The 26901-nt window shown below is 38.8% G+C and overlaps 2 long non-coding RNA genes across 4 annotated transcripts, besides 1 other annotated feature; one reads left to right on the top strand and one right to left on the bottom strand.

The window, feature by feature from the left end:
* Positions 50-219: an enhancer, noted in NCBI's record as "active region_3764". NCBI's record gives its function as "activates an Ori minimal core promoter by ATAC-STARR-seq in GM12878 lymphoblastoid cells {active_cell/tissue: GM12878}" and the evidence as "EXISTENCE:reporter gene assay evidence [ECO:0000049][PMID:35858748]".
* TNKS2-DT (TNKS2 divergent transcript) lies at positions 63-15515 on the top strand. 2 transcript variants are annotated; one of them, NR_108071.1, is made up of 2 exons: positions 63-117; positions 15194-15515. It is a non-coding gene; the product is annotated as a TNKS2 divergent transcript (long non-coding RNA). The 2 variants fall into 2 exon arrangements; NR_108070.1 differs by lacking the exon at positions 63-117 and adding an exon at positions 158-541.
* A 2247-nt stretch (positions 15516-17762) lies between these two features.
* LOC124902482 (uncharacterized) lies at positions 17763-26099 on the bottom strand. Of its 2 annotated transcripts, XR_007062246.1 has the most exons (3): positions 25884-26099; positions 18976-19091; positions 17763-18315 (listed from the first exon to the last, which is right to left on the bottom strand). It is a non-coding gene; the product is annotated as an uncharacterized LOC124902482 (long non-coding RNA). The 2 variants fall into 2 exon arrangements; XR_007062245.1 differs by lacking the exon at positions 25884-26099 and having other exon boundaries at positions 18976-22028.
* Between the last annotated feature and the right edge of the window lie 802 nt (positions 26100-26901).

The following is a 26901-nucleotide window of genomic DNA, read 5'->3' as shown; positions in this document are numbered from 1 at the left end:
CCGGGCACCGGCTGGGCAGGTTTCGGCTAGCGAGGCGGCGCGAAGGGTTTGTGGGAAATGTGAGGCGAGAGGCTTCGGCGGCGGGAGAAGGGGCTTCGTCCCACCGCCATCTTTGCGGTGGGTTCTGCTGAAGCCGAACGATCCTGCATATTGTGTTTTTTGTTGTTGTTGTTTTAAGCCCTGGGCTTTCCAGGCTGAACTTTCTCACTACCATTACACTGAAAAAGAGCCCTTGAAAGTTTTGCTCGGATCTTGCACATTCTTTTGGAAGTCTTACTGTGGAAATTGTCCGTGTTTTCAGCTTCCACATCCCTTTCTCCTGGGAGATTTCTTTTCCGTTTTTTTTACTTTGTCTCTTTTCTTTCCTCCGCAACTGCTTTGTTGTTGTTGTTGTTGTTTCTTGTAAACCACTTCTCAAAAGTGAACTAGTTGCCGTTTAATAGAAGTTTGGATGAACTGCCCCCAAAATAAAGGAAATCCGAACAGTCATGGAAGTTGACTCCAATTGGAGGGATGGCTCTGATCAATTACTCTTTCCACAGTAAGTTATTAGCTCAGGATTGATTAGAGGAACTTTTTGTAAATCAATATTGTACCTGACATGCCTAAAGTTTGGATACACTGAGCATACGCATCTCCAAGAAAGTTTTCTGAGTTATAATCTTTTTCTTTGACCAACAAACAAAAGAAAAGCATATAATTGATTTTCATGCTTAAGATACTGGTGTAGTTTTACACGATAATTCCCCACTACACCCCCTTGTCTTAAACTGAAAGAAAGGTATGCCTATACATACATTTTACTTACAGAAGATGATACATGTTGACCTTTGCCATTCTGAAAAGCATCCCCCCCCCAACCTCCTACCTTAACCTGTTTTTCAGGAAATCCAGTTTTTGTTGGGGAATGTTGACTCACTACAGTGCTAAAAGAGGATGTACACTTTTTTGAGCATTTTTATACATATGAAATTGAAGTTATGGTGCTTATCAATAACATGAACATGCATGAACGAACCTAGGACTAGAACACTACCAATATGATTGCGTTTATCATTTTTCTTCCCATAAATCTGCTATGGTGATCTATGATCAGTGATAAGTTGAAATCACTGTTGTAATTGTTTTGAGGCACCACAAACCACACCCATAGAAGACAGCAATCAATCAATAAATGTGTATGTTCTGACTGCCCCACTGACAGGCTACTCTGCCATCTCTCTCCCTCTCCTGGGGCCTATCTGTTCCCTTAAACACAATAATATTGAAATTAGGCCAATTAAGAACTCTGCAATGGTTTTCTAGGTGTTCAAGTGAAAGGAAAAGTTGCGTATCTCTCACTTTAAATCAAAAGCTAGAAATGATTCATCTTAGTGCAGAAGGCATGTTGAAAGCTGAGATAGGCCCCCTTGCACCAAACAGCCAAGTTGTGAATGCAAATGAGAAGTTTTTGAAGGAAATTAAAAGTGCTACTCCAGTGAACACATGAATGATAAGAAAGTGAAACAGACTTACTGCTGATACGAAGAACGTTTGAGTGGTCTGGATAGAAGGTCAAACCAGCCACAAGATTTCCTTAAGCCAAAGCTGAATCCAGAGCAAAGCCCTAACTGCCTTCAATTTTGTGAAGGCTGAGAGACCTGAGGAAGTTGCAGAAGACAAGTTAAAAGCTAGCAGAGGTTGGTTCATGAAGTTTAAGGAAAGAAGCTGTCTTCATAATATAGAAGTGTAAGGTGAAGCAGCAAATACTGATGTAGGAGCTGCAGCAAGTTAACTAGAACAGGGGTCCCCAACCCCCGGCCCTTGGACCGGTACTGGTCCCTAGCCTGTAAGGAACAAGGACGCACAGCGTGAGGTGAGCAGAGAAGGTGCAGGGCGGGGGATGGAGGCAGGGTGGGGATGGGCGGGGAGTGAGCATTACCGCCTGAGCTCCACCTCCTGTCAGATCAGCAGCAGCATTAGATTTTCACAGGAGCGCAAACCCTATTGTGAACTGCACATGTGAGGGATCTAGGAATTTGAGGCTATGGTGAGCTGTGATCATGTCACTGCACTCCTCTACAGCTTGGGTGACAGAGACCCTGTCTCTGAAAACAAACAGAAAAACCAGCTTGAATGGATGAGGAGTTACTTCTTATGGAGCAAAAAAAAATTTTTTTCAGATGGAACCTACTCCTGGTGAAGATGCTGTAAAAATTTTTGAAATGACAACAAAGAATTTAGAATGTTACTTAAACATAGGTGATAAAGCAGGAGCAGAGCTTGAGAGATAGGCTCTATTTTTTTGTTTGTTTTGCCATTAAGTTTCAACACCCAAATAGACTCTAATTTTGAAAGCTCTGTGGGTAAAATGCTATCAAACAGCATTGTATGCTACAGAGAAATCTTTTGTGAAAGGAACAGTCAATCGATGTGGCAAATTTCATTTTAGCTTCTCTTAAGAAATTGCTACAGCCACCCCAACCTTCAGCAACCATTATCAGTTAGCAGCCCTCGATATCATTGCGGCAAGACCCTCCAACTGCAAAAAGATGACAAGTTGCTGAAGGTTCAGATGACTGTTAGCATTTTTTAGCAACAAAATATCTATTTTTAATTTTTAAAATTGTTTGAATTTTTAATTTTTTGGGTACATCACAGGTGTATATATTTATTGGGTATATGAGATATTTTGATACTATCACTCAATGCCTAATAATCATATCAGGGTAAATGGGGTATCAGTCATTTCAAACATTTATCTTTTGCATTACAATCAATTATACTATTTTAGTTATTTTTAAATGTACAATTAGATTATTATTGACTATAGTCACTGTGTTGTGTTATCAAATAATAGGTTTTATTCATTCTTTCTAATTATTTTTTGTACCCATTAAACATCCCCCACCCACTTCACTTCTCAGCCTCTGGTAACCATCATTCTACTATCTCCATGTGTTCAATTGTTTTAATTTTTAGCTCCCACATAAGTGAGAATATGAAAAGTTTGTCTTTTTCTGCCTGGTTTATTTCACTTAACATAATGATCTCCATTTCCATCTATGTTATTGCAAATGATAAGCTCTCATACATTTTTATGGCTGAATAGTACTCCATTGTGTATATGCACCATGTTTTCTTTATCCATTCATCTGCTGATGTACACTTAGGTTGTTTCCAAATTTTGGCTATTGTGGACAGTGCTGCAATAAGCATGGGAGTGCAGATATCTCCTCAATATACTGATTTGCTTTCATTAGGGTATATACCTAGCAGTGGGATTGCTGGATCATATGACAACTCTATTTTTAGTTCTTTGAGGAACCTTCAAACTGTTCTTCATAGGGGTTGTACTAATTTACATTCCCACTAAAAGTGTACAAGGGTTCCCTTTTCTCCATATCCTTGTTGGCATTTGTTATTGCCTGTCTTTTGGATAAAAGCCAGTTTAGCTGAGATGAGATGATATCTCACTGTAGTTTTGGATGAGCAAAGAAAATGTTTTTTACATTTCTCTGATGATCAATGATGTCAAGAACCTTTTCACATGTCTATTTGCCATTTGGGTTTTTTGTTGTTGTTGTTTTTTGTTTTTTTGAGATAGAGTCTCACTCTGTCGCCCAGGATGGAGTGCAATGGCACGATCCCGGCTCCCTGCAACCTCTGCCTCCCGGGTTCAAGCGATTCTCGTGTCTCAGCCTCCCGAGAAGCTGGGATTACAGGCACCTGCCAGCATGACTGGCTAATTTTTGTATTTTTAGTAGAGATGGGGTTTCACCATGTTGGCCAGTCTGGTCTTGAACTCGTGACCTCAAGTGTTGTGCCCACCTCAGCCTCCCAAAGTGCTGGGATTACAGGCATGACCCACCGCGCCCTCTTCTATTTGCCATTTGTATGTCTTCTTTTGAGAAATGTCTATTCAGATCTTTCACCCATTTTTAAATCAGATTATTAGACTTTTTTTTTTTCCTTTTGAGTTGTTTGAGCTCTTTATATATTCTGGTTATTAATCTTTTGTCAGATGAATAGTTTGTAAATATTTTCTCCCATTCTGTGGATTGTCTTTACACATTGTTGATTGTTTCCTTTGTTGTGCAGAAGCTTTTTAACTTGATGTGATCCCATTTGTCCATTTTTTGCTTGGGCTGTTTGTGCTTCTGGGGTATTACTCAAGAAATCTTTGCCCAGTCCAATGACCTGGAGAGTTTCTCCAGTGTTTTCTTTTAGTAGTTTGATAGTTTCAGGTGTTAGATTTAAATCTTTAATCCATTTTGACTTGACTTTTGTATATGGTGAGAGATAGGGGTCTAGTTTCACTCTTCTGCATATGGATATTCAGTTTTCCTAGCACATTTATTGAAGATGGTGTCCTTTCCTCAATATGTGTTCTTGGCACCTTAGTCAAAAATGAGTTCACTATAGATGTATGGATTTATTTCTGGGTTCTTTATTCTGTTCCATAGGTCTGTCTGTTTTTATACCACTACCATGCTGTTTTGATAAGTCAGGTAATGTGATTTCTCCAGTCTTATTCTTTTTGCTCAGGATAGCTTTGGCTATTATGGGTATTTTGTGGATCTGTATAAATTTGAAAATTGTTTTTTTCATCAATGTTTTTTAGTTTTCATTGTAGAGATCTTTCACTTCTTTGGTTAATTCCTAGGTATTTAATTTTATTTGTAGCTATTATAAATGGGTTAATGGGATTACTTTCTTGAATTCTTTTTCAGATTGTTCACTGCTGGCATATATAAATGCTTCTGATTTTTGTATGTTGATTTTGTATCCTGTAACTTTACTGAGTTTTGTTTTGTTTTTTTTGAAACAGGGTCTAACTGTGTCATCCAGGCTGTAGCGCAGTGGTGTGATCAGGGCTCACTGCAGCCTCAATCTCCTGGGCCGAAGCAATCCTTCCACCTCAGCCTCCTGAGTAGCTGGGACCACAGGCATGCACCATCATGCCCAGCTATTTTTTTTTTTTTTTTTTTTTTTTTTGAGATGGAGTCTCCCTATGCTGATCCTGAACTCCTGGGCTCAAGCAATCCTTCTGTTTTGGCCTCTAAAATGTTCAGATTATAGACATGAGCAACTGCAGCCAGCCAACATTACTGAATTTGTTTATATGTTCTAAAAGCTTTTTGGTAGTCTTTAGAGTTTTCAAAATATAAGATCATATAATCTGTAAACAAGGATTATTTGACTTCTTCTATTCCAGTTTGGATACTCTTTATTTCTTTCTCTTGTCTTATTGTTCTACCTAGGACTTCCAGTACTATGTTGAATAACAGTGGTGAAAGTGGACATCTTTGCAGTGTTCCAGATCTTAGAGGAAGGTCTCTCAGTTTTTCCCTATTCACTATGATGTCAGCTGTGGGTCTGTTGTATATGGCTTTTATTATGTTGAGGTATGTAACTTCTATGTCCAGTTTTTTGATGGTTTTTATCATAAAAGGATGTTGAATGTTACCAAATGCTTTTTCAGCATCAGTTGAAATGATCATATGCTTTTTGTCCTTCATTCTGTTGATATGATGTATCACATTGATTTGTGTATGTTGAACCATTCTTTCATCCCTGGGATAAATCCCACTTGGTCATGATGAATGAGCTTTTAACGTCTTGTTGAATTCGGTTTACTAGTAATTTTGTTGAGGATTTTTGCATCAATGTTCATCAGGGATATTGGTCTGTAGTTTTCTTTTTTTGATGTGTTTTTCTTTTTGGTATCAGGATAATACTGGCCTTGTAGAATGAGTTCGAAAGTATTCCCTTCTCTGTTTTTTGGAATAGTTTGAGTAGGATTGGGATCAGTTCTTCTTTAAATGTTTGGTAAAATTTAGCAGTGAAGCCACCAGATCCCAGGCTTTTCTTTGCTGGAGGATTTTTTATTATGGCTTTGATTTCATTACTTGTTATTGTTCTGTTCAGGTTTTGGATTTCTTTATGATTCAAGATTGATAGGTTTTATGTGTTTAGAAATTTATCCATTTCTTCTAGGTTTTCCAATATATTGGCATATAGTTGCTCATAGTAGCCTTTAATGTTCCTTTGAATTTCTTTTTTTTTTTTTTAATTTTTTTTTTTTTGAGATGGAGTTTCACTCTGTTGCCAGGCTGGAGTGTAGTGGTGCGAACTCAGCTCACTGCAAGCTCCGTCTCCCCGGGTTCACGCCATTCTCCTGTCTCAGCCTCCTGAGTAGCTGGGACTACAGGCGCCCACCACCACGTCTGGCTAATTTTTGTATTTTTAGTAGAGACGGGGTTTCACCGTGTTGGCCAGGATGGTCTCGATCTCCTGACCACGTGATCCACCCGCCTCGGCCTCCCAAAGTGCTGGGATTACAGGTGTGAGCCACCGCACCTGGCTGTGATCCTTTGAATTTCTGTGGTATTAATTGTAATGTCTCATTTTTCACTGCTGATTTTATTTGAATCTTCTCTCTTTTTTTCTTAGTCGGCTAAAGATTTGTCAATTTTGTTTATCTTTTCAAAAAAATCAACATTTTGTTTCATTGATCTTTTGTGTTGCTTTCTTCATTTCAATTTCACTTAGTGCTGCTCTGATCTTTATTGTTTCTTTTCTTCTTCTAACTTCAGGTTTGGTTTGCCCTTGCTTTTATAGTTCTTTAAGACGCATCATTAAGTTGTTTATTGGAAGTTTTTCTACTTTTTTGATGTAGGTGCTTACAGGTTTATATTTTTCTTAATACTGCTTTTGTTTTATTCCATTATTTTTGGTATGTTGTATTTCCATTATCATTTGTTGCAAGACATTTTTCAATTTCCTTCCTAATCTCATTGGCCCACTGTTCATTCAGTTGCATAGTGTTCAATTTCCATGTGTTTGTATAGTTTCCAAAATTCCTCTTGTTACTGATTTCTAGTTTTATTCCGTTGTGGTTAGAGAAGACAGTTGCTATTATTTCAATTTCTGAATGTTTTAAGACTTGTTTTGTGGCCTAAGATATGGTCTATCCTTTAGAATGACCCATTTGCTGAGGAAAAGAATGTATATTCTGCAGCCATTAGATAAAATGTTCTGTCAATGCATATTAGTTCCATTTGGTCTATAGTGCACATTATGTCTGATATTTCTTTGTTGATTTTCTGTTTGGATGATCTATGCAGTGCTGAAAGTGGGGTGTTGAAGTCTTCAGCTATTATTGTATTGGTATCTATCTTTCTAATATCTGCTTTGTATATCTGGGTGTTCCAGTGTTGGATGCACATATATTTACAACTGTTATATCCTCTTGATGAATTGACCCCTTTATTGTTATAAAATGACCTTCTTTATCTCTTTTTATAGTTTTTGTCTTGAAAACTATCTTTCAGTCTGTATGTGTCTTTATATGTGAAGTGTGTTTCTTATAGGCAAATTGTTGAATTTTGTTTTTTAAATCCATTCAACCACTCTATGTTTTTTGATTGGAGAGTTTAGTCCATTTGCTATCAATGTCATTGACAAGTAAGGACTTACTCCTGCCATTTTGTTATTTGTTTTCTGGTCTTTTCCTCCTTTTTTTCCCTTCTTCCTATCTTGCTTTTAGTGAAGCTGATTTTCTCTGGTGGTATGATTTAATTTCTTGCTTTTCACTTTTTGTGTATTCATTGTATGTTTTTTGACTTAAGGTTACCATGAGGCGTGCAAATAATATCTTATAACCCATTATTTTAAACTGATGATAACTTAACATGGATTGCATAAACAAACAAAACTAAGAAAAACGCCACACTTTAACTTTGTTCCTCCTTTTAAAAAAATTTTTTGTTGTTCCTATTTATACCTCATTGTACTGTCTTGTAAAGTTGTTGTAGTTATTATTTTTGATCAGTTCATCTTTTAGTCTTTCTACTTAAGATATGAGTATTTATACATCACAATGACCCTGTTATAATATTCTGTGTTTTTCTGTGTACTTACTATTACCAGTGAGTTTTGTACTTCGGACGATTTCTTTTTTTTTTTTTCAGACGAAGTCTCGCTCTTGTCCCCCAGGCTGGAGTGCAATGGCGCGATCTTGGCTCACTGCAACCTCTGCCTCCCAGGTTCAAGGAATTCTCCTGCCTCAGCCTCCCGAGTAGCTGGGATTACAGGCGCCTGCCACCACGCCTGGCTAATTTTTGTATTTTAAGTAGAGATGGGGTTTCACCATGTTGGCCAGGCTGGTCTCGAACTCCTGACCTCAGGTGATCCACTCACCTCGGTCTCCCAAAGTGCTGGGATTACAGGTGTGAGCCACCGTGTGCGGCCTCAGGTAATTTCTTATTGCTCATTTTGCTCATTAACATCCTTTTTTTTTTTTTTTTTCAAATTGAGGAACTTTCTTTAGCATTTCTTGTAGGACAAGTCTGTTGTTGATGAAATCCCTCAGCTTTAGTTTGTCTAAGAAAGTCTTTATTTCTCCTTCATGTTTGAAGGATATTTTTGCCAGATACGCTAATCTAGAGTAAATGGTTTTTTTCCTTCACCACCTTAAATATGTCGTACCACTTTCTGCTGGCCTATAGGGTTTCCACTGAACAGTCTGCTGCCAGGAATATTAGAACTCTTTCTTTTCTTTTCTTTCTTTCTCTTTTTTCTTCTGCTTTTAGGATACTTTCTTTATCCTTGTCCTTTGGGAGTTTGATTATTAAATCCTTTTAGGAGTCTTCTTTGTGTTAAATCTGCTTGTTGTTCTATAATCATCTTATACTTGAATATTGATATGTTTTTCTAGGTTTGGAAAGTCCTCTGCTATTATTCCTTTGAAAAAACTTTCTAGCCTTATTTCTGTCTCTACCTCCTCTTTAAATTCAGTAACTCTTTGATTTGCCCTGTTAAGGCTATGTCCTAGGTCTTGTAGGTGTGCTTCATCCTTTTTTATTCTTTTCTTTTTTGTCTCTTTTGGCTGTGCATTTTCAAATAACCTGTCTCCAAGCTCACTAGTTCTTCCTTCTGCTTGATCAGTTCTGCTGTTAAGAGACTCTGATTCATTCTACAATATGTCAATTGCATTTTTCAACTCTAGAATTTCTGCTTGATTCTTTTTAATTATTTAAATTTATTTGTTAATTTTATCTGATAGGATTCTGAATTCCTTCTGTTGAATTTATCTTGAATTTCTTTGTTTCTTCAACACACTATTTTGAATTCTCTGTCTGAAGGATTACATATCTCTGTCTTTCCAGGATTGGACCCTGGTGCCTTATTTAGTTTGTTTGGTGAGGCCATGTTTTCCTTGATTCTTGTGAATGTTTGTCGGTTTCTGAGCATTGAAGAGTTAGGTATTTATTGTAGTCTTTGCAGTGTAGGCTTGTTTGTACCTATCCCTGGAAGGGTTTCCAGGTATTCAAAGAGACTCGAGTATTGTGATCTAAGTTTTTGGTCACTGCAGCCATATCTGCATTAGGGGGGACCGCAAGCCCAGTAACACTGTGGTTCTTGCATATTCACAGAGGGACAATGTTGGTGGTCTCGGATAAAATCTGGAAGAATTCTCTGGATTATCACGCAGACACTCTTGTTTTTTTACTTCCTCCCAAACAAACACAGTTGCTGTATCTGTGCTGAGCTGCCTGGAGCTGGGGGAGGGGTGACACAAGCACCACTGTGATCACCACCGCTGGGACTGCACTAGGTCAGACCTGAAGCCAACATAGCACTGGATCTCACCCAAGGCCTGCTGTATCTACTCCGTGGCTATTGCCTATGTTTGCTCAAGGCCCTAGGGCTCTATAGTCAGCAGGTGGCAAAGCCAGTTAGGTTTGTGTCCCTCCCTTCAGGGCAACGAGTTCCCTTGGACCCTAGGTGGGTCCAGAAATGCTGTCTAAGAGCCAGGGTCTGGGGTTGGAAACCTGAGATATGTACCTGGTGCTCTATTCTACTGCAGCTGAGCTGGCACCCAAACCACAAGACATAGTCTTTCCCACTCTTCCCTCTCCTTTCCCCAGGCACAGGAGTCTCTCCCCTCAGTCACCACCAGCACAGGCCCATGAGGAGTACTCCCACACTACCACTGATGCTCCCTTAAGGCCTAAAGGCTCTTCAGTCAGCTATAGTGAATGCTGCCAGGCCTGGGACTCACCCTTCAGGGAAGTGGGTTCCCTTCTGTCCCAGGGTAGGTCTAAAAATACCTGCCAAGAACCAAGGCCTGGAATCAGGAATCCCATGGGCCTACTACCTGGTGCTCTACCCCACTGTGGTTGAGCTGGTATCTAAGCTGCAAGACAAAGTCCCTGTTACTCTTCCCTCTGCTTTTCGCAGGCAGAAGCAGTCTCTCCTTTTTGTCATCACAGCTGTGAATGTGCTGGGTCACACTGCAGGCCAGCACATCTGAGAGTCTCACCCAAGGCCCATGGTGTGTTCTACCTGGTTACCGCTGCTGATTATTCAGGGCCCAAAGGCTCTTTAGTCAGCAGGTGGTGAATCATGCCAGGCCTGAGTCCTTCTCTTCAAGGCAGTGGGTTCCCTTCTTCCCAGGGTGTGTCTAGAAATGCTGTCTGGGAGCTAGATGTGTTAGGACTCTGCCTGGTACCCTATCTTACTAAGACTGAGCTGGTATCCAAGTCACAAGACAAAGTTGTCTTTACTGTTTCCTCTCCTCTCCTCAAACAGAAGGAAGGGGTCACTTCTGAAACTGCAAACTATGCTGCTTGGGATAGGGGGAGTGGTGGTGCAAGCATTCCCTTAGCTACCTTGGCTGTGCCTCACTAGGTGCATGTCCCTCCATGTCCACTGGCTCCAAGCCCAGCACAGCACTATGACTTGCCTAGGAGTTGCAGTCCTTGTCGCCTAGACTGCCTTTCAAGTTTCCTTAGAACCCCAGGGCACTTTAGCCCATGGAGGTGAGGCTTGCAGAAACTCAGGTTCCGACCCCTGGGATGGGTGATTTCCCTCTGGCTAGGGCTCATCTCAGTGCTGCCTCTGTGGGTGTCAGCTGAGTTCTGCACAGTGTTGGCAGCACTAGTTCCAATACAACATCCTACAATTGCTGTGCTCTTCCTGACCCCCAAGCACACAGATTCTCTCTCTGTGCAAGAGATGGGGAAGGGGTGGTGTCAGCAATTTAAGACTGTCTTTCCTACCCTCTTCAGTGCCTCTTTCAGAGATGTGGAGTTAAAAACCAGGCACTGTGATCACTCACCTGATTTTTGGTTCTTAACGGAGGTGCTTTCTTCTGTAAATAGTTGTTGAATTTGGTGTTTTTGTGGGGAGAATGATCAGTGGAAGCATCTATTCAGTTATCTTGTCTTGCCTCCTCCAAAATATTTTTAAATTAAAGTATGCACATTGGTTTTTTTTAGACATAATGCTATTGCACAGTTAATAGACTGCAGTATAATGTAAACATAACTTTTATGTGCACTGGGAAACCAAAAAATTCATGTGATTTCCCTTTATTGTAATATTTGCTCTATTGTGGTGATCTGGAACCAAACTTATAATATCTCTGAGGCATGCCTGTACTTAAAAATGGTTAATACAGAGCCTGGGCGAGATAGTCTTTACAAAAAATATAAACATCACCCAAGTGGGGTGGTGTGTGCCTATAGTCCTAGCTACTCAGGAGGCTGAGATGGGAGGATCTTCTGAGCCCAGGAGTTTGAGGCTGCAGTGAGCCATGATGTCACCACTACACTCCAGCCTGGGTGACAGAGTGAGATCTCTGTCTCAAAAAAAAGAAAAAAAAAAGAATATGGTTTAAAAAGGAAAGCAAATAAAGTCAAGTATATTAGCCTGTTTGTGCTGCTATAACAAAATCCCTGAGAGACTGGGCAATTTATAAACAATAGAAATTTATTTCCCACAGTTCTTGTACTTGGCTGGGAAGTCCAAAAAGATGTTGGCAAGATTGGTATTTGGTGGAGGGAGGGGAGTTGGGGGAGGAGAGAGGGATGGTTGGTTAATGAGTACAGAAAAAAAGAATGAATAAGGTCTAGTATTTGGTAGCACAGCAGGGTGACTATAGTTAATAATAATTTAATTGTACATTTAAAAATAACTAAAAGTATAATTGGATTGTTTGTAACACAAAGGATAAATGCTTGAGAGGTTAGATACCCCATTTTCTATGATGTGATTATTACGCATTGCATGCCTGTATCAAAATATCTCATGTATCTCATAAATATATACACCTACTATGTATCCACAAAAACTAAAAATAAGAAAATAAAAAGATTGATGTCTGTTGAGGGCTGCTTTATGCTTCCAATATGGTGCCTTGTTGCTGCATCCTCTGGAGGAGAGGAGCACTGTGTGAAGGTGGAAAGGCAGAACAGTCCCTTCAATCTTGAGCTCTTTAATAAGGTGCTAATACCATTCAAGAGGTTAAGATCATGACTTAATCACCTCCCAAATGCCACACCTCTTAATATTGCAGCATTAGGGATTAAGTTTCAACATGAATTTTGAATGAGATAACATCATTCAAAACGCAGCAATATCTTTTCTTATGTTTATGGTCTATTTGTATTTCCTTGCAGTAAAATGCTTATTTTTCTTTTGCCCATTTTTGTGTTATGTTGTTTATCTTTTGCTACTGATTTGTAGGCATTTTGTATCTATTTTGGATATTAATCTTGTATCAGTTGTATGTGTTGAAAAATATCTTCCCCAAGTTTATAGTTTGTTTTTTCACTTCCCCAGTGAAAAGATGTCTGAATTATAATATAGCTAAATTTGTACATCCTTTAATCAAGTTTATTTATGAATTCTCCCTTACCTCAAGGTTGTAAAGATATTATATTTTCTTCTAAAAGTTCAAATTTTTGCTTTTAACATTTAAGTTTTTAATCTTTATGGACTTGATTTTGGGTTATAGTGTGATATTCAATTTCTTTTATTTTTTCCCCAGGAGAATAACAGATAGTCCTCATAGCATCTAGTAAGTGTTTTCTCATTTAAGAAGGAAGCTGCAGTGCCACATCAAGCTTCCATATAGACTCTATTTCATTCCACTGATTGATCTATAGATTCTTCCTCCTACACCATACTATCTTAATATTACTTTATAATAAGTTTTCTTACCTGTTAGGGTAAATCTTCCACTATATTCTTCTTTGCTTTTCTTGAGATTTTGATCTCCCATATAAATTTTGGAATCAGAGGCTCAAGTTCTTTGAAAACCCCATTTGAATGCTGATGAGACTTGCACTGAATTTATAGTTCACTATTGTGATTTTAAAGATATTGAGTCCTCTCATCATTGAACATGGTATATCTCTTCATTTATTTTCTTCTTTAAAGAATTTCAGTAAAGTTTTACAGTTTCCTTCATATAGGTCTCACACATCCTTGTTTTATTGCTATAATAGTAAAAAAAAAAAGTATGGCTTATCAAACCAGTGTAAAAAGATATTTTTGAAGCACTTTGATACATTTTAATTTGTACTGGATATTAGATGATATTAAGGTGTTAGCATTAATTGGATTAGGTTATATGCTAAAATCATGTTCATTATGATAAAAATAAAAGGCCTTTATTAGAAACTCATATGCATTTACTGGTAAGGTGACATGACATTTGTTTAAAATAGTTCATATGACATAATGTCACTATTTTTAGTTTTAAGTAGTTCATTAAAAAAGTTAAGGGAGGTGAAAGAAGAATGGCCAAGTGTTGATAATTGTTGAAATGAAGCTGGGTAATGGGTATGTGAGAGTTCATTACGCTATTCTCCCAATTTTTGTGTATATTTGAAAAGTTGTGTAATAAAGACTTTAATATTATATTTTTGAGTTATTTTTGCTGAGGTGTAGAGATTATATATATGGAAGGGAAGGGATTGTTTTATTGATATATACATATATATATATAGAGAGAGAGAGAGAGAAAGAACCATTTTGCCAAACTCTCTCATTGTTTCCAATAATTTGTCTATTGTTTTGGGTGTTCTAGATAGTCTTATCATCTGTGAATGTGAATATGTGGAAAAAATTTATCCTTTTCCAACCCTAGGCCTTGCTGGGTTGGCTAAGACCTGAAATATAATATTGAGTAAAAGTATTAATGTTGGGCATGCTTGTCATGTTCTGGTTTTTTAAAAGACAGCTAAGTTTCACTACTAAGAATGATGTTTTTCTTTTTTTTTTTTTTTCTGTTTTCTTTTTGCTATACCGAGACCCTTACTCTGTTGCCCAAGCTGGAGTGTAGTGGTGCTATCATAGCTCACTGCAGCTTTGAACTCCTGGGCTTAAGTGATCCTTCTATTTCAGCCTCCCTAGCAGCTGGGACTACAGGCATGTGCCACTATGCCCGGGTATGATGTTTTAAAAAAAATTAGCTTTGGTAATGTTTTAGTAGTTATGAAAAGATGTTGAAGCATAATCAGATGTTGAATTTTATTACATGCTTTTCTTCTTTTTCTTGTTTTTGTTTGTTTGTTTGTGTTTTTTTACGATGGATTCTTGCTCTGTCACCCAGGCTGGAGAGAGCAGTGGCGCCATCTTGGCCCACTGCAACCTCCGCCTCCTGGGTTCAAGCAATTCTCCCCTGCCTCAGCCTTCTGAGTAGCTGGGATTACAGGTGTGTGCCACCATGCCTGGCTAATTTTTGTATTTTTAGTAGAGATGAGGTTTAACCATGTTGGTCAGGCTGCTCTTGAACTCCTGACCTTGCGGTCTGCCCGCCTTGGCCTCCCAGAGTGCTGGGATTACAGGCGTGAGCCATCGTGTCCAGCCTAAATGCTTTTTTCTACACTTATTGAGATGTGTTTTTTTTTTGTTCTGTTCACATAATCAATTATGTTTACGGATTTTCTAATGTCAAACCAATCAATAATTTAAACTTTTTCCACAAAGTAAACAATGCGCCCAAAGAATCGTTCAGAAAAATTTTACCAAACTGTCATTGAATAGATTATTCCAATCTTGTTCAAACTTCCAGAGACTAGAAAAAGAGGAAATACTCCCTAAGTCTTTGAAGTTAGTATAACCAAAGCAGACAAAGAAAGAAACAAGAAAGAGAAATTACAGGCCAATTTCACTCATGAACATAGGTGTAAAATTCCTGAATAGAATACTAGCTAACAGAATCCAGAAAAGATTGTGTGGAACCAGTGGGTGCTTGCAGCAAACACCCCAAACAAACAAACATACAACAAATAACTCCAGGGGTACTTATACATATAATTAAAGCAACTATAGGACTGACTCTGACAAGTAGTTTTCTTAACTTTAAACAGAATACTTTCCCTTGGCAACATTTATTTTTCTCTTCATTATAAAGGGAATTGAACAGCTTGGACTTGGAGACAGTGAGTTAAAACAGAAATAAGAAGGCGGCAGAAAAAGACTACCAGATTGAAATGTGTTGGATATTCATATCCACCCAGCACCTCAGAATGTGGCCATGGAGGATGGAGACAGAGATTGGAGTGATGCATCTTCAAGCCTAGGAACACTAAGGATTGCTGGTAATCACCAGAAGCTGGAAGAGGCAAGAAAGTGTCCTTTCCTAGAGCCTTCAGAGAGAGCGCAGCCCTGCCAACACCTTGATTATATGCTTCAAGCTTCTAGAATTGTGAGAGAATAAATTTCTGTTGTTATAAGCCACCTAGTTTGTGGTCTTTTGTTATGGCAGCCCTGGGAAACTAATAAACATAATAGTACTGGGAAGTGAGATGCTGCTGTAGCAAATACCTAAAAATGTGGAAGTGGCTTTGGAACTGGGTAGTGGGTAGAGGCTGGGAGAATTTTTAGGTGCATGCCAGAAAAAGCCTGGGTTGCCTTGAAGAGACTGTTGGTAGAAATACTGAAGTTTAAGGGGCTTCTAGTTAGGGCTCAGAAAGAAGGAAGGAGAGCTATGGAGAGAGCTTCTATTGTGTTAAGGCACATATATATATTACCACTAAAAGAATGTTTCTAGAAATATGAGCAATAAAGGTGCTTCTGGTGAAGTCCCAGATATAAATGGGGAACATATTCTTGGCCACTAGAGAAAAGGCAATCCTTGTCATAGAGTGGCAGAAAACTTGGCTGAATTATGCTCTACTGTTCGGTGAAAAGTAGAACTTGTAAAAGAACTTGGTTATTTGGATTAGGAGATTTCCAGGCAAAGTATGAAAGGTGCAGCCAGATTTCTCTTTGCTGCTGACAGTAAAATGAGAGAAGAAAGAGATACATTGAGAAATGCACTGTTAAGGAAAAAGAAACCAAGAGTTGATCATTTGGAAGATTCTTATGCTATCCAAATAGCATGCTATGAAAAAAGGGCTAAGGTGTAGCTGGACAGCTGTTTGCGATAGACATTAGGTGTGTGATTTAGGGATCCAGTCAACCATCTCAGTAACAGCCTGCAATAAAGATGGGGTTATCCAGGAAGGACCCATGGAGCACCTTCATGTCTAACAATGTAAGACTCCTTGACATTCATAAAAGACTTACAAGGTTTTTGAGAATTTTATACCAGCAGAAACACTGCCAGCCTGGACTGAAAGGGACAGAGACAAGACAAAATGAAGGAGGAATGACTTTTGAGGGCAGAGCCATGAAGCAGAGGTCAGAGAGAAAGGAGTTCCTACCTCAGAGGGCCCAGAGGACATAGCATCAAGCCACAGAGGATTACTCTTAGGCTTTGAAACCTGAGGGAATTTGCACTGCTGCATTGTGAACTTGCTATAGACAAGTAAGTCCTTCATTTCTTCCAATTTTTTAGTTTAGGAATGGGAATGCCTGGCCTATGCCTGTTCCATCAGTGTATTTTGGAAGCAGGGAACTTGTTTTCTAGTTTCACAAATCTGTGGATGGAGAATAATTTTGCCCTGGGATGGACCATACCCAGAGTTTCACCCATACTTGGTTTAGATTATATAGCTGATGATATTTGGAACTTTACTGGTGGATGTTTAGGGGAGATTTTGAATTTAGAGCTAATCCTGGAATAGGTTAAGACTTTTGAGGATATGGGGATGGGGTGAATGTATTTTGTGCATGGGATGGGTGTGAGTTTTGGGGAAGCAGAGGGCAAACTTTACTGGGTTGAATGGCGTCCCTCCCAAATTCATATCCACCTGGAACCTCAGAATGGGACCTTATTTGCAAATCAGATCTTTGCAAACGTAATTAAGATGTATATTAAGATGAAGTCATATCAGATTAGGGTGGGCCCTAAATGTAATCACTGCATTTAGTGATTACATTAAAGGAAGAGGAGAGGGCACACAGGGAGAAACTCATGTGAGGATTGCTGGCAACCAGTAGAAGCTAGAATAGGCAAGGAAGAATTCTGCCATAAAGTGTTTCAGACAGAGCATGGCCCTGCTGACACCTTGATTGGAACTTTTCATTGCCATAAATGTGAGAGAATAAATTTCTGTTGTTATAAACCACCAGGTTTATGGCACTTTGTTACAGCAGCCTTGGGAAGCTAATAACACAGTTAGTTGTAGGAAACACTTGTCAAACATAGGAACCTGTAGGTTTGAAAGCTCATCAAAGGCTCACAAGAAAACAACAGTCTAGGCAAGTGGATTAAATGAACAAGTATTAAGGGAATTAAAGAGGTTTCTAAGTGACTTCTACTCATGTGTGATGTTGTAGGAGTTTGGAAATAACACAACTGTACAACTGATTTAATGAGGAAGCTTTGGTTTGGCATTTAACTTGCTACCTAATGGGAACTGATTACATGTCTATTTATTTTTTCATCATTTGTATTCCTTTAAGTTTTCTTGATAAACAAGGATGATATCTTTTATTTTCAATGGCTAGGGTACTTTCAGCTATTTTATGTTCTTGGAAGAAATTCTAGCATGTTTTGTTATTGCTAAAGCTGATATAGAAATACATTCTGATGATACTTTGTAAAACTTTCATATTTATTTATTTTCACAAAATGTTGCTATAAACTTGAAAAATAGAGGTGAGCAGAAGGGAAATATAGAGCAACAAAGGTTAAGATACACGAACATACATTAACGTTTGTGTCACAGCATGTTGCTTCAGGAAGAAGAGGTGGAGATACAGTTGAAGAAGAGATGGAGACTAGTGTGCAGGCCATTTATTAGGCAGTGGTCTTGGGATCAGCACTTGTGGAAGGGAGGGAACGAAAGCAGAATTGGGTAGAGGGAGAAGTTGAAATGTAATCAATTAATCAACCTGATGACAAGCTCTGGATCTGGGATGGCCCTTCAAAATTGTCCCTAGCTGAAGCAAGAACAGGCACCTCTCAATCATTGTATATGAGCTACTCTTGGAAGGAGGTATCATCTTGGACCTCCAGTTTTCTTTTGCCACAGCAATCCCCAAAGAGGACTGAGAGCTGAGGAGTGTCTTCCTGCAGCACTTTAGCAGCTGGGGGAACAAATCTTCCATTCCTGAAGAAGAAATCTGGGTGGCATATTGCAGCATCTATCACATGTAGATACAGAAAATTGAGTCAATCATAGCCCTCAATTGATGGCACTTTATCACTATTGTTTCTGCAATATCCCCTTTCTTTTCTTTTTTTTCCCCATTCAATTGACTCCCAGACCCATTCTTCTTCCCTGACATGTTTGGTATATACCCTTGGATATGTGTGTATCTTTGAAAAATATATAATACTGTTTTGTGTATTTATGTGTTTAAATTTACATCAGTGGTATTGTGCTATAGTTTTTTTCCCCATTTTATTTCAAAATTACATCAATGATATTGTACTACTGCTATCTGTAATTCTGCTCGTTGCTTTTTTCGATCAACACTATGTTCTTGAGGTTTATCCGTCTCATTGTACATTCATCTAGTACATTGCTTCCAGATGCTTCATTTTTATTTACCTATCTTTTTGTTTTGTTTTGTTTTTGTTTTTTTCCTAGGCTCTGGGGTGTTTTTATATTTACCTATCTTTTTAAGTGACGAATACCAAAGTTAACCCCAACTACCATAACCAATGTTTGTACATGTTCCCTCTAGGTGAAAAGCTTTTAAAAACTGGTATTTCTGGTTTAAAGTGTATTCATGTATTAAGCTAACTGCTATAACTCCTGAAATATCAGTGGCTTAACATAATAACAATTTCCCACTCACATAAAGTCCAACTGTCAGCAGGGGCTGGGGCACACTCCATGCAGTCATTCAGGAACCTAGGCTGGTGGAAGCTCTGCCATCTTTTGCTGTGGTTTTAGGTGTCACTATCCAGCCAACTATGAGGAGAGAAAGTGAAGGAATGATTGGTGGATTTTTACAAGCCAAGCCTGAAAGTGGTGTATAATCATCACTCTTTCCACATTCCATAGGCTGAAAGTCATATAATTGCACCTCACCAAAACAGAGGCTGGGAAATATGGTCTAGCTGAGAGTCTAGGAGAAAAAAAATAGGTTTGCTGAATGTCTGGCCAATTTCTGCCATAGTTCACTCTTCTGGTAAATAGCATCTGTTTTACTCTTCTTCCCACACATAAGATACACCTTATCTTAAGAGTGACTGCTCAAAGTATCAGTCAGTGCATCCAATTCAAGTTCTAGGATTTCCTAGTGATACACAGTTATTTCAGTCATAGAAGTGGCTTCTTGTGGTCAAGCCACCCATGAACTAAAGAGATAAATTATTTGCACCTATTCTCATTCTTACTCCCACATACCTAATACATTCATTAGGGACAGGGCTAGATGGCTACAATTAAGAATTCTTAACTTGAAAAGAAAAATAATGGGAGACACATAGTAACTGCTGGTTCATTACAATGATAAAATCCTCTGAGGCATGCATTGTGAATTCCTCTTAACTGGGGTGTGGGCTAATTTGTAATTAGAGCTGGGTTCTACTCCCTTTGAGGCATTCCCTTATCCACTGTTTTTCATGGTTCTTGGGTTTTTCCTGCCGGATGTTCTTCCTTGTCTATTTTTCATGGCCATACCTGAAGAGGTTGTTGAGGAATATGTCCTTGGAGACTGCACAGCTTTCTGAGCCTGCTTTCAGCTATGCAAATTTCAGAACCTGACTTTTTTGTTTTGTTTTGTTTTTTGAGACAGAGTTTCCCTCTGTCACCCAGGCTGGAGTGCAGTGGTGTGATCTTGGCTCACTGCAACCTCCGCCTCTGGGGCTCAACCGGATTTTGTGCCTCAGCCTCCCAAGTAGCTGGGATTACAGGCATGTGCCACCATGGCCAGCTAATTTTTGTATTTTTAGTATAGATGGGGTTTTGCCATGTTGGCCAGGCTGGTCTCAAACTCCTGGCCTGAAGTGATCCGCCCGCCTTGGCCTCCCAAAGTGCTGGGATTACAGACATAAGCCACCATGCCTGGCCTGTGTTTTTTGTTGTTGTTGTTGTTTGCTTTTTTGTGACAGGGTCTCACTATGTTGACCAGGTTGGTCTTGAACTCTTGGCTTTAAGCAATTCTTCTACCTCTTTCTCCCAAAGTGTTAGGATTACAAGAAGTTCATTTTAAGACTAGACTAGTCAAAAAAATTTTTTTAGTCCAGATTCTGTTGTTGACTCCATTTGTTAGTTTTTGTTTTTGGCAAAATAATTCCTTCAAAACCTTAATAGAGTTCTGATCAATTTACTTCTAGTCAATTCCATATGTCTGTAACCACACCTAAATTATTTGATAAATGTAATTCTAAAACCTGATTCATTTTTGCTTTCTTGCCACCATGCTTTTCTCAATGGCAGCTTCTGATCGTTGCATTATATTCGATCATATGCTTATATAGTTTCCTTATCCATTACTTTATAAAAGGACATGTAAGTTTTCTCCAACTCTTAGTTACCACAAACAACTGCAATGAATATCTTGTGTATGTCTCCTTGTATATCTCTACAACTGTTCTTTGGGGTAAAAACTCATTAGAGGAAGTGCTACATCATAACATTTACACGTATTTAATGCTACTAAAAACTGCCTATTTAATGTTATTAAATACTGCCATACTGTTCTCCAAAATGGCAGCACCATTCCATCCAACCATAAGACAGTTTTCTAGTATCCTCACCTGCACTTAGTATTATTTAATAACATAGTAAGTGTAAGATGGTCTCTTATTGTCTTAAATCACTGTGTGGATATGTCAGTCCTCCCCTGACTAATCAATAAAAGCAATTCTAATTAAAATTTTAGAATTTTTGAGGAAATCAAACTTTTTCTAATATTTATATAGAATAATTAAGGAGTAAAAATTAGGAAAGTCAATTTTATAAAAAAGGGCAGAGAAAGGAGCCTAATCTACAAGACATGAAAGTATATTATGGAGTTATAATAATTAAAACTTATGTTTTTGTCAGAGGAACAGGAAACTAGACCGTTGGAACAGAATTTACTTATTTATTTTTTTGAGACAGGATCTCACTGTGTTGCTAAGGCTTGAGTGCAGTGATGCGAACTTGGCTCACTGTAGCTTCAACCTCCTAGGCTCAAGTGGTCTCCCACTTCAGCCTCCCAAGTAGCTGGGACTATAGGCACGTGCCACCATGCCTGTCTAATTTTTTTGTGGAGATAAGGTCTCACTATGTTGCCCAGGCTGGTCTCGAACTGCTTAGCTCAAGCTATCCTCCTGCCTAGTTCTCCCAAAGTGGTGGGATTACAGGCGTGAGCCACTGAGCCCAACCCTGGAACAGAATTTAAAACTCAAATAGACCCACGGGTGTATGAAAATTTTGTAAATAATAACAATAATAATGTGGAAGGTAATATTATTTGTTTACAATCTTCCTTCCTGGCCCCTGCCATAGTTTCATTATGGACAAGCTTCCTGGACCTAAATGTTTATCTCTCCCTCCCCACTCACTCTATACAAAAATAAACTCAAATGGATCAAAGACTGTATGGCAGGTACACCTGGCAGCAATAACTTAAGCATACCTTAAGAATAACCCTATGGTTTAAGAATGTATGTTCAGACTTCTGAGCTAAGGAACCTGGGAACAGCCAACCCACAGATTCATTCCTTATCTGTGAGGAACATCTGAACCCTCTGGGATATCCTGTGGAACTCAGGTAGCGTAGGGGATCAAGGTACTTTGTTTTGGGTTAAATGAAGGTTGCCAGGTGGAGATTGCTAGGGGAAGGGTGCTACGTGAAAATGCTATATACACTGCATGCTTTTTATAAGCAGTTGTGGTTCTCCTGCCCAGTCCATGGCCACCGGACTGCCCTGTATATAAGTCTTCTCAATAAGCCCTATGTCTTGTTCACTGGCTCTGGGCCTCTTCTTCAGTCTCTGTTGACTGAAGTCAGTAAGGGTCTGGCATGACAAAGACTTAAATATGAGACCAAAACTATAAAACTAGCTAGATAAAAGGAAAAAGTTCTAGTGTTCTATGGTATTGTAGGATGACTATAGTTAACAATAATGTATTACATAGTTTCAAATATCTAGAAGAAGGATCTTGAATGTTCCCAGCACAAAGAAATGATAAATGTTTGGAATGAAGGATATGCTAATTACCCTGATCTGATCACTATACTTTGTATGTATCAAAACATCACTGTAGGCTGAGGTGGACGGATTGCTTCAGCCCAGGAATTTGAGACCAGCCTGGGCAACATGGTGAAACTCCATCTCTATTAAAACTGCAAAAATTAGCCAGGTGTGGTGACACGTGCATGTAGTCCCAACTACTTAGTCCCAACTACTCCAGAGGCTGAGGTAGGAGGATGGCTTAAGCCTGGGAGGCAGAGGTTGCAATGGGCCAAGATCATGCCACTGCACTCCAGCCTGGGGGATAGAGCCAGACCTTGTGCTGAAAACAAACAAACAAATAAACAAACAATCACTATATACCCCATAAATATGTATAATGATTATGTATCAATTAAAATACATAAAAGATAGAGCTTATGAAAGGAAATTGAATTGAGAACTAGGGATTTGAGATTAAGGAAAAAGCTAATAATTACATTAAAAAATTTAAAAAGTGGGGTTTAACATGGATAAATGATGATAGCTTGCTAAGAAATTAATATTATCAACTCAATTCTGTACATCTGAGGTAAAAAAAGCCTCTGCTAGTAATTCACTGAACTATACCACTTTTGGAAAGAATTCCACTTTTATTTTATAGTTTGATTAAGTTGTCTATACCAACATAAAATAAATTTAACATTTTTGCTTCAATCTTGAATAAAATTTGTTTTCAATGTATTTTATTAATTGTACGTTTTGTTTTTTATTTTGCATATTTATTTTTCTCATTCATTTCTTGATAAAGTAGTCCAATGACATATTCTTTTGTTAATTTAAATTCATGTTTTCCCATAGGGCACACTAATTACTATACAGTTTGGATTTAAAGTCCATGATATACCTGATGAGAAAAACGAGAAACTCTCTTATTTAGCAGTCTAACTTCCTGAACATAATCAATAGCTTCATCGAAAGGGAAGATCTAAACTCTGTGGTTAGGACTTCTACTTTTAGCCAGGCAGAGTAACTTACGGCAGAAAAATGCACCCTTTAAGAAAAAGTATAAAAATTGGATTTAAAAAAACCCAAAAGCTCTTTATGGGTATTGGGAAGCTGCTAAGGCAATGCAGAACTTGAGAGGTCAAGATTCTGGAGAGATGAGAACCATGGAGAGCTGAAAGGACATTCTGCAACAATGTTTTACCATGGGGAGTTTCACAATTCTGGGCTCAAGGAATGTCGCTGAAAACCCAGTAAAGGGCCTGGGGAAAGGGCTTTTGCTGGAAGGCAGAGTAGCCATCAGAGCATTTGTCAATCCTGTGGGTGTGAAGAAATACATATTGTAGACTGGAGGGACAGAAAGCTGGGCCCAGCAATTGACCATTTTTTTTGTTTGTTTTTTGAGACAGGGTTTCCCTGTTGCCCAGGGTGGAGTGCACTGACACAATCACAGCTCACTGCAGCCTCAATCTCCGGACTCAAGTGATCCTCCCAATTCAGCCTCCTAAGTAGCTGGGACTACAGGCACATGTCACCATGCCTGAATAATTGTTTTATTATCATTATTATTTTTTGTAGAGACGGGGTCTCCTTATGTTGCCCAGGCTGGTCTCAAACTCCTGAGTTCAAGAAATCGTCACACTTTATGCTGGGATTACAGGATTGAGCCACCATGCCCAGCAAGGTGGTTTTGTTTTGTTTGTTTTTGTTTTTTTTCCATTTTGCTGAATTCTGAAGCTGTAAAATTCAGGAACCTAAGAAGCCAGGCAAAGCAGAATGGAGTTCCTGGCAGTTGCACATGGCTGAGGAGTCAAGGATTAGAGTTCAGAACGTGACATGGGGGCTGGAACCTGGAGAAGTCCCAGGCTTTTAGTTGGAACTTAAGCAGCTAAGCTCTAGAGTGGTAGTAATACAAAGGTAGAAAGAGGCTGTGTGCAGTGGCTCACACCTGTAATTCCAGCAATTTGGGAGGCTGAGGTGCTTGAGGCCAGGAGTTTGAGACCAGTCTGGGCAATGAAGTGAGACCCTGTCTCTACAAAATATGCATAAAAAAATTTAGCTGGACATGGTGGCATGCACCTGTAGTCCTAGCCGCTTGGGAACCTGAAGTGGGAGGATTGCTTGAGCCCAGGAGTCTGAGCCTTCAGTGAGCTAGGATTGTGCCACCGCACTCCAGCTTGGGCAACAGAGTGTCTCTAAAATAAATAAATAAATAAATAAAGAGGTGGAAAAAGCCTTAGTAAAACTGCAGCCTAACTTTGAGTTAGCTCAGTTCCTGATTGAATTGAAGTGGCCGGTTCTAATTCTACCTACCTATCAGAGGAAAGGGTGAGCCCTCTCTGGAGATTCCTTCATCATCCAAAACTTCTGTAATTTTTCAGAGAGTATCTGACTGTCAATCAAAAAGTATCAGGCATACCAAGAAATAGGACAAAATGACAGAGAAAGAGAGGCAGAGAGCAAGAGAGAGGGGGAGAGAAATCAGACAGGTGATCCAGAATTATAGCTGTCAACAAATATTTTAATATGACTATAATAAATGTATTCAAGAAAATAGAGAAAAATATGGAGAAAATAGATTAAGAAAAAAAAAAGAATTTCACCAGGGACAAATGGGACATAATGAACAGGTCTGACATATATGTAACTGGAGTCCCAGCAGACTAGGAAAAACTGGGAAAGAAAATGTTCTAAGATGGAAAAAGAAAGTGCAAAAAAAAAAAAATGAAGAGTAATGAAAGAGTTAAATATATGGGTATATATGAATGTATTTTGACTGTATAAAGCAACAATAGTAATGCTGTTTAAAATTTAAAACATACAGAATTTCACCAGGTCTGGTGGCTTATGCTTGTAATCCCAGCACTTTGGGAGGATGAGGTGAGATGATCTCTCAAGGCCAGTTCCAAACCCGCCTGGGCAACATAGTGAGACCCATCTCTACAAAAATTAATTGGGCATGGTGGTGTATGCCTGTAGTTCTAGCTACTCAGGAGGCTGAGTTGGAAGGATCACTTGAGCCCAGGAGTTTGAGGCTGCAGTGATTCATGATCATGCCACTGCACTCCAGCAGCCTGGGCAACAGAGCAAGACACTGTCTCAAAAAAAGGAAAACAAAAGGAAAAATTAAAAAAATGTAAAATATATAAAATTGAATATACAATAACAACAAAACAAAAGACAAGATATGGTAAATGAAGTTAAAGTGTTCTAAAGTACTAGCATTGTCAGGGAAGTGGTAAAAAAAAATTTTTAGGCTGTGTTATGGTTAAATTGTGTCCTCCCCAAAAGGTATGTTGAAGTCCTAACCCCAGTACTTCAGAATGTGACCTTATTTGGAAACAGGGTCATTTCCAATGTAATTAAACTAGAGATGAGGGCATACTGGAGTAGAATGACACCATAGAGTAGAAAACAGCCATGTGAGGACAAGAGATACAGAGAGAATACCATGGGAAGATGGAGGCAGAGATTAGATTGGAGTGATGCACCTACAAGTCAAGTGTATTAGTCAGGGTTCTCTAGCGGGACAGAACTAATAGGATAGATGTATATATAAAAAGGAGTATATTAAGGAGTATTAACTCACACGATCACAAGGTCCCACAATAGGCTGTCTGCAAGCTGAGGAGAAAGGAAGCCAGTCTGAGTTCCAAAGCTCAAGAACCTGGAGCCTGATGTTTGAGGGCAGGAAGCATCCAGCACAGGAGAAAGATGTAGGCTGGGAGGCTAAGCCAGTCTAATCTCTCTACATTCTTCTGCCTGCTTTTTATTCTGGCCACACTGGCAGCTGATTAGATTGTGCCTGCCCAGATTAAGGGTGGGTCTGCCTTTCCCAGTCCACTGACTCAAATGTTAATCTCCTTTGGCAACACCCACACAGACACACCAGGAGCAGTATTTTGCATCCTTTAATCCAATCGAGTTGACACTCATTATTAACCATCACACCAAGGAATGCCAAAGATTGCTGGCTGTCATCAGAAGCTAGGAGAGAAGCATGGAACAGGCTGTTTCTCAGAGCCCTCAGAAGGAACTAAACCTGCTCACATCTTGATTTTGGACTTCTGGTCTCCAGAACTTTAACATTTTTGTTGTTATAAGCCACTTAGTTTGAGGTAATTTGTTATGACAGCCCTAGAAAAATAATATAGACTGTAATAAATTGCAATATTTAGGCTAATCACCAAAAGAACAACTAAAAAAGTAAAAGGAATTAATAGATGAAAAATAGAATAATATTGCATTATTTAATTAAATCCAAAGGAAAGTAAGAAATGAGAGAAAAAAACTCAGTTGGGTGAGATATATAACAAGTAGTAAAATGGTAGACATATTAGTAATGATATTTTATATTTCTTATTATATTGTATTAAATGTAAATGGACTGAACAATCCAATTAAAAGATTGTCAGAAATTGGATAGAAAACAAAACTCTGCTATAGCTGCTTGTAAGAAACATAGCTTGATATAAGAACGTAGACAGTATAAAGTAAATGGATTAAAAAGTATATCATGCAAATTCCAGTCAAAAGAAAATGAATGTAGCTATATCAATATAAACAAGAACATTTTAAGGCAGGAAATATTACTAGAAATAGAGAAA

The sequence above is a fragment of the Homo sapiens genome, chromosome 10, assembly GCF_000001405.40.
Source record: "Homo sapiens chromosome 10, GRCh38.p14 Primary Assembly".
Classification (NCBI taxonomy): domain Eukaryota; kingdom Metazoa; phylum Chordata; class Mammalia; order Primates; family Hominidae; genus Homo; species Homo sapiens.
This window is presented reverse-complemented; position numbering and strand designations above follow the sequence as displayed.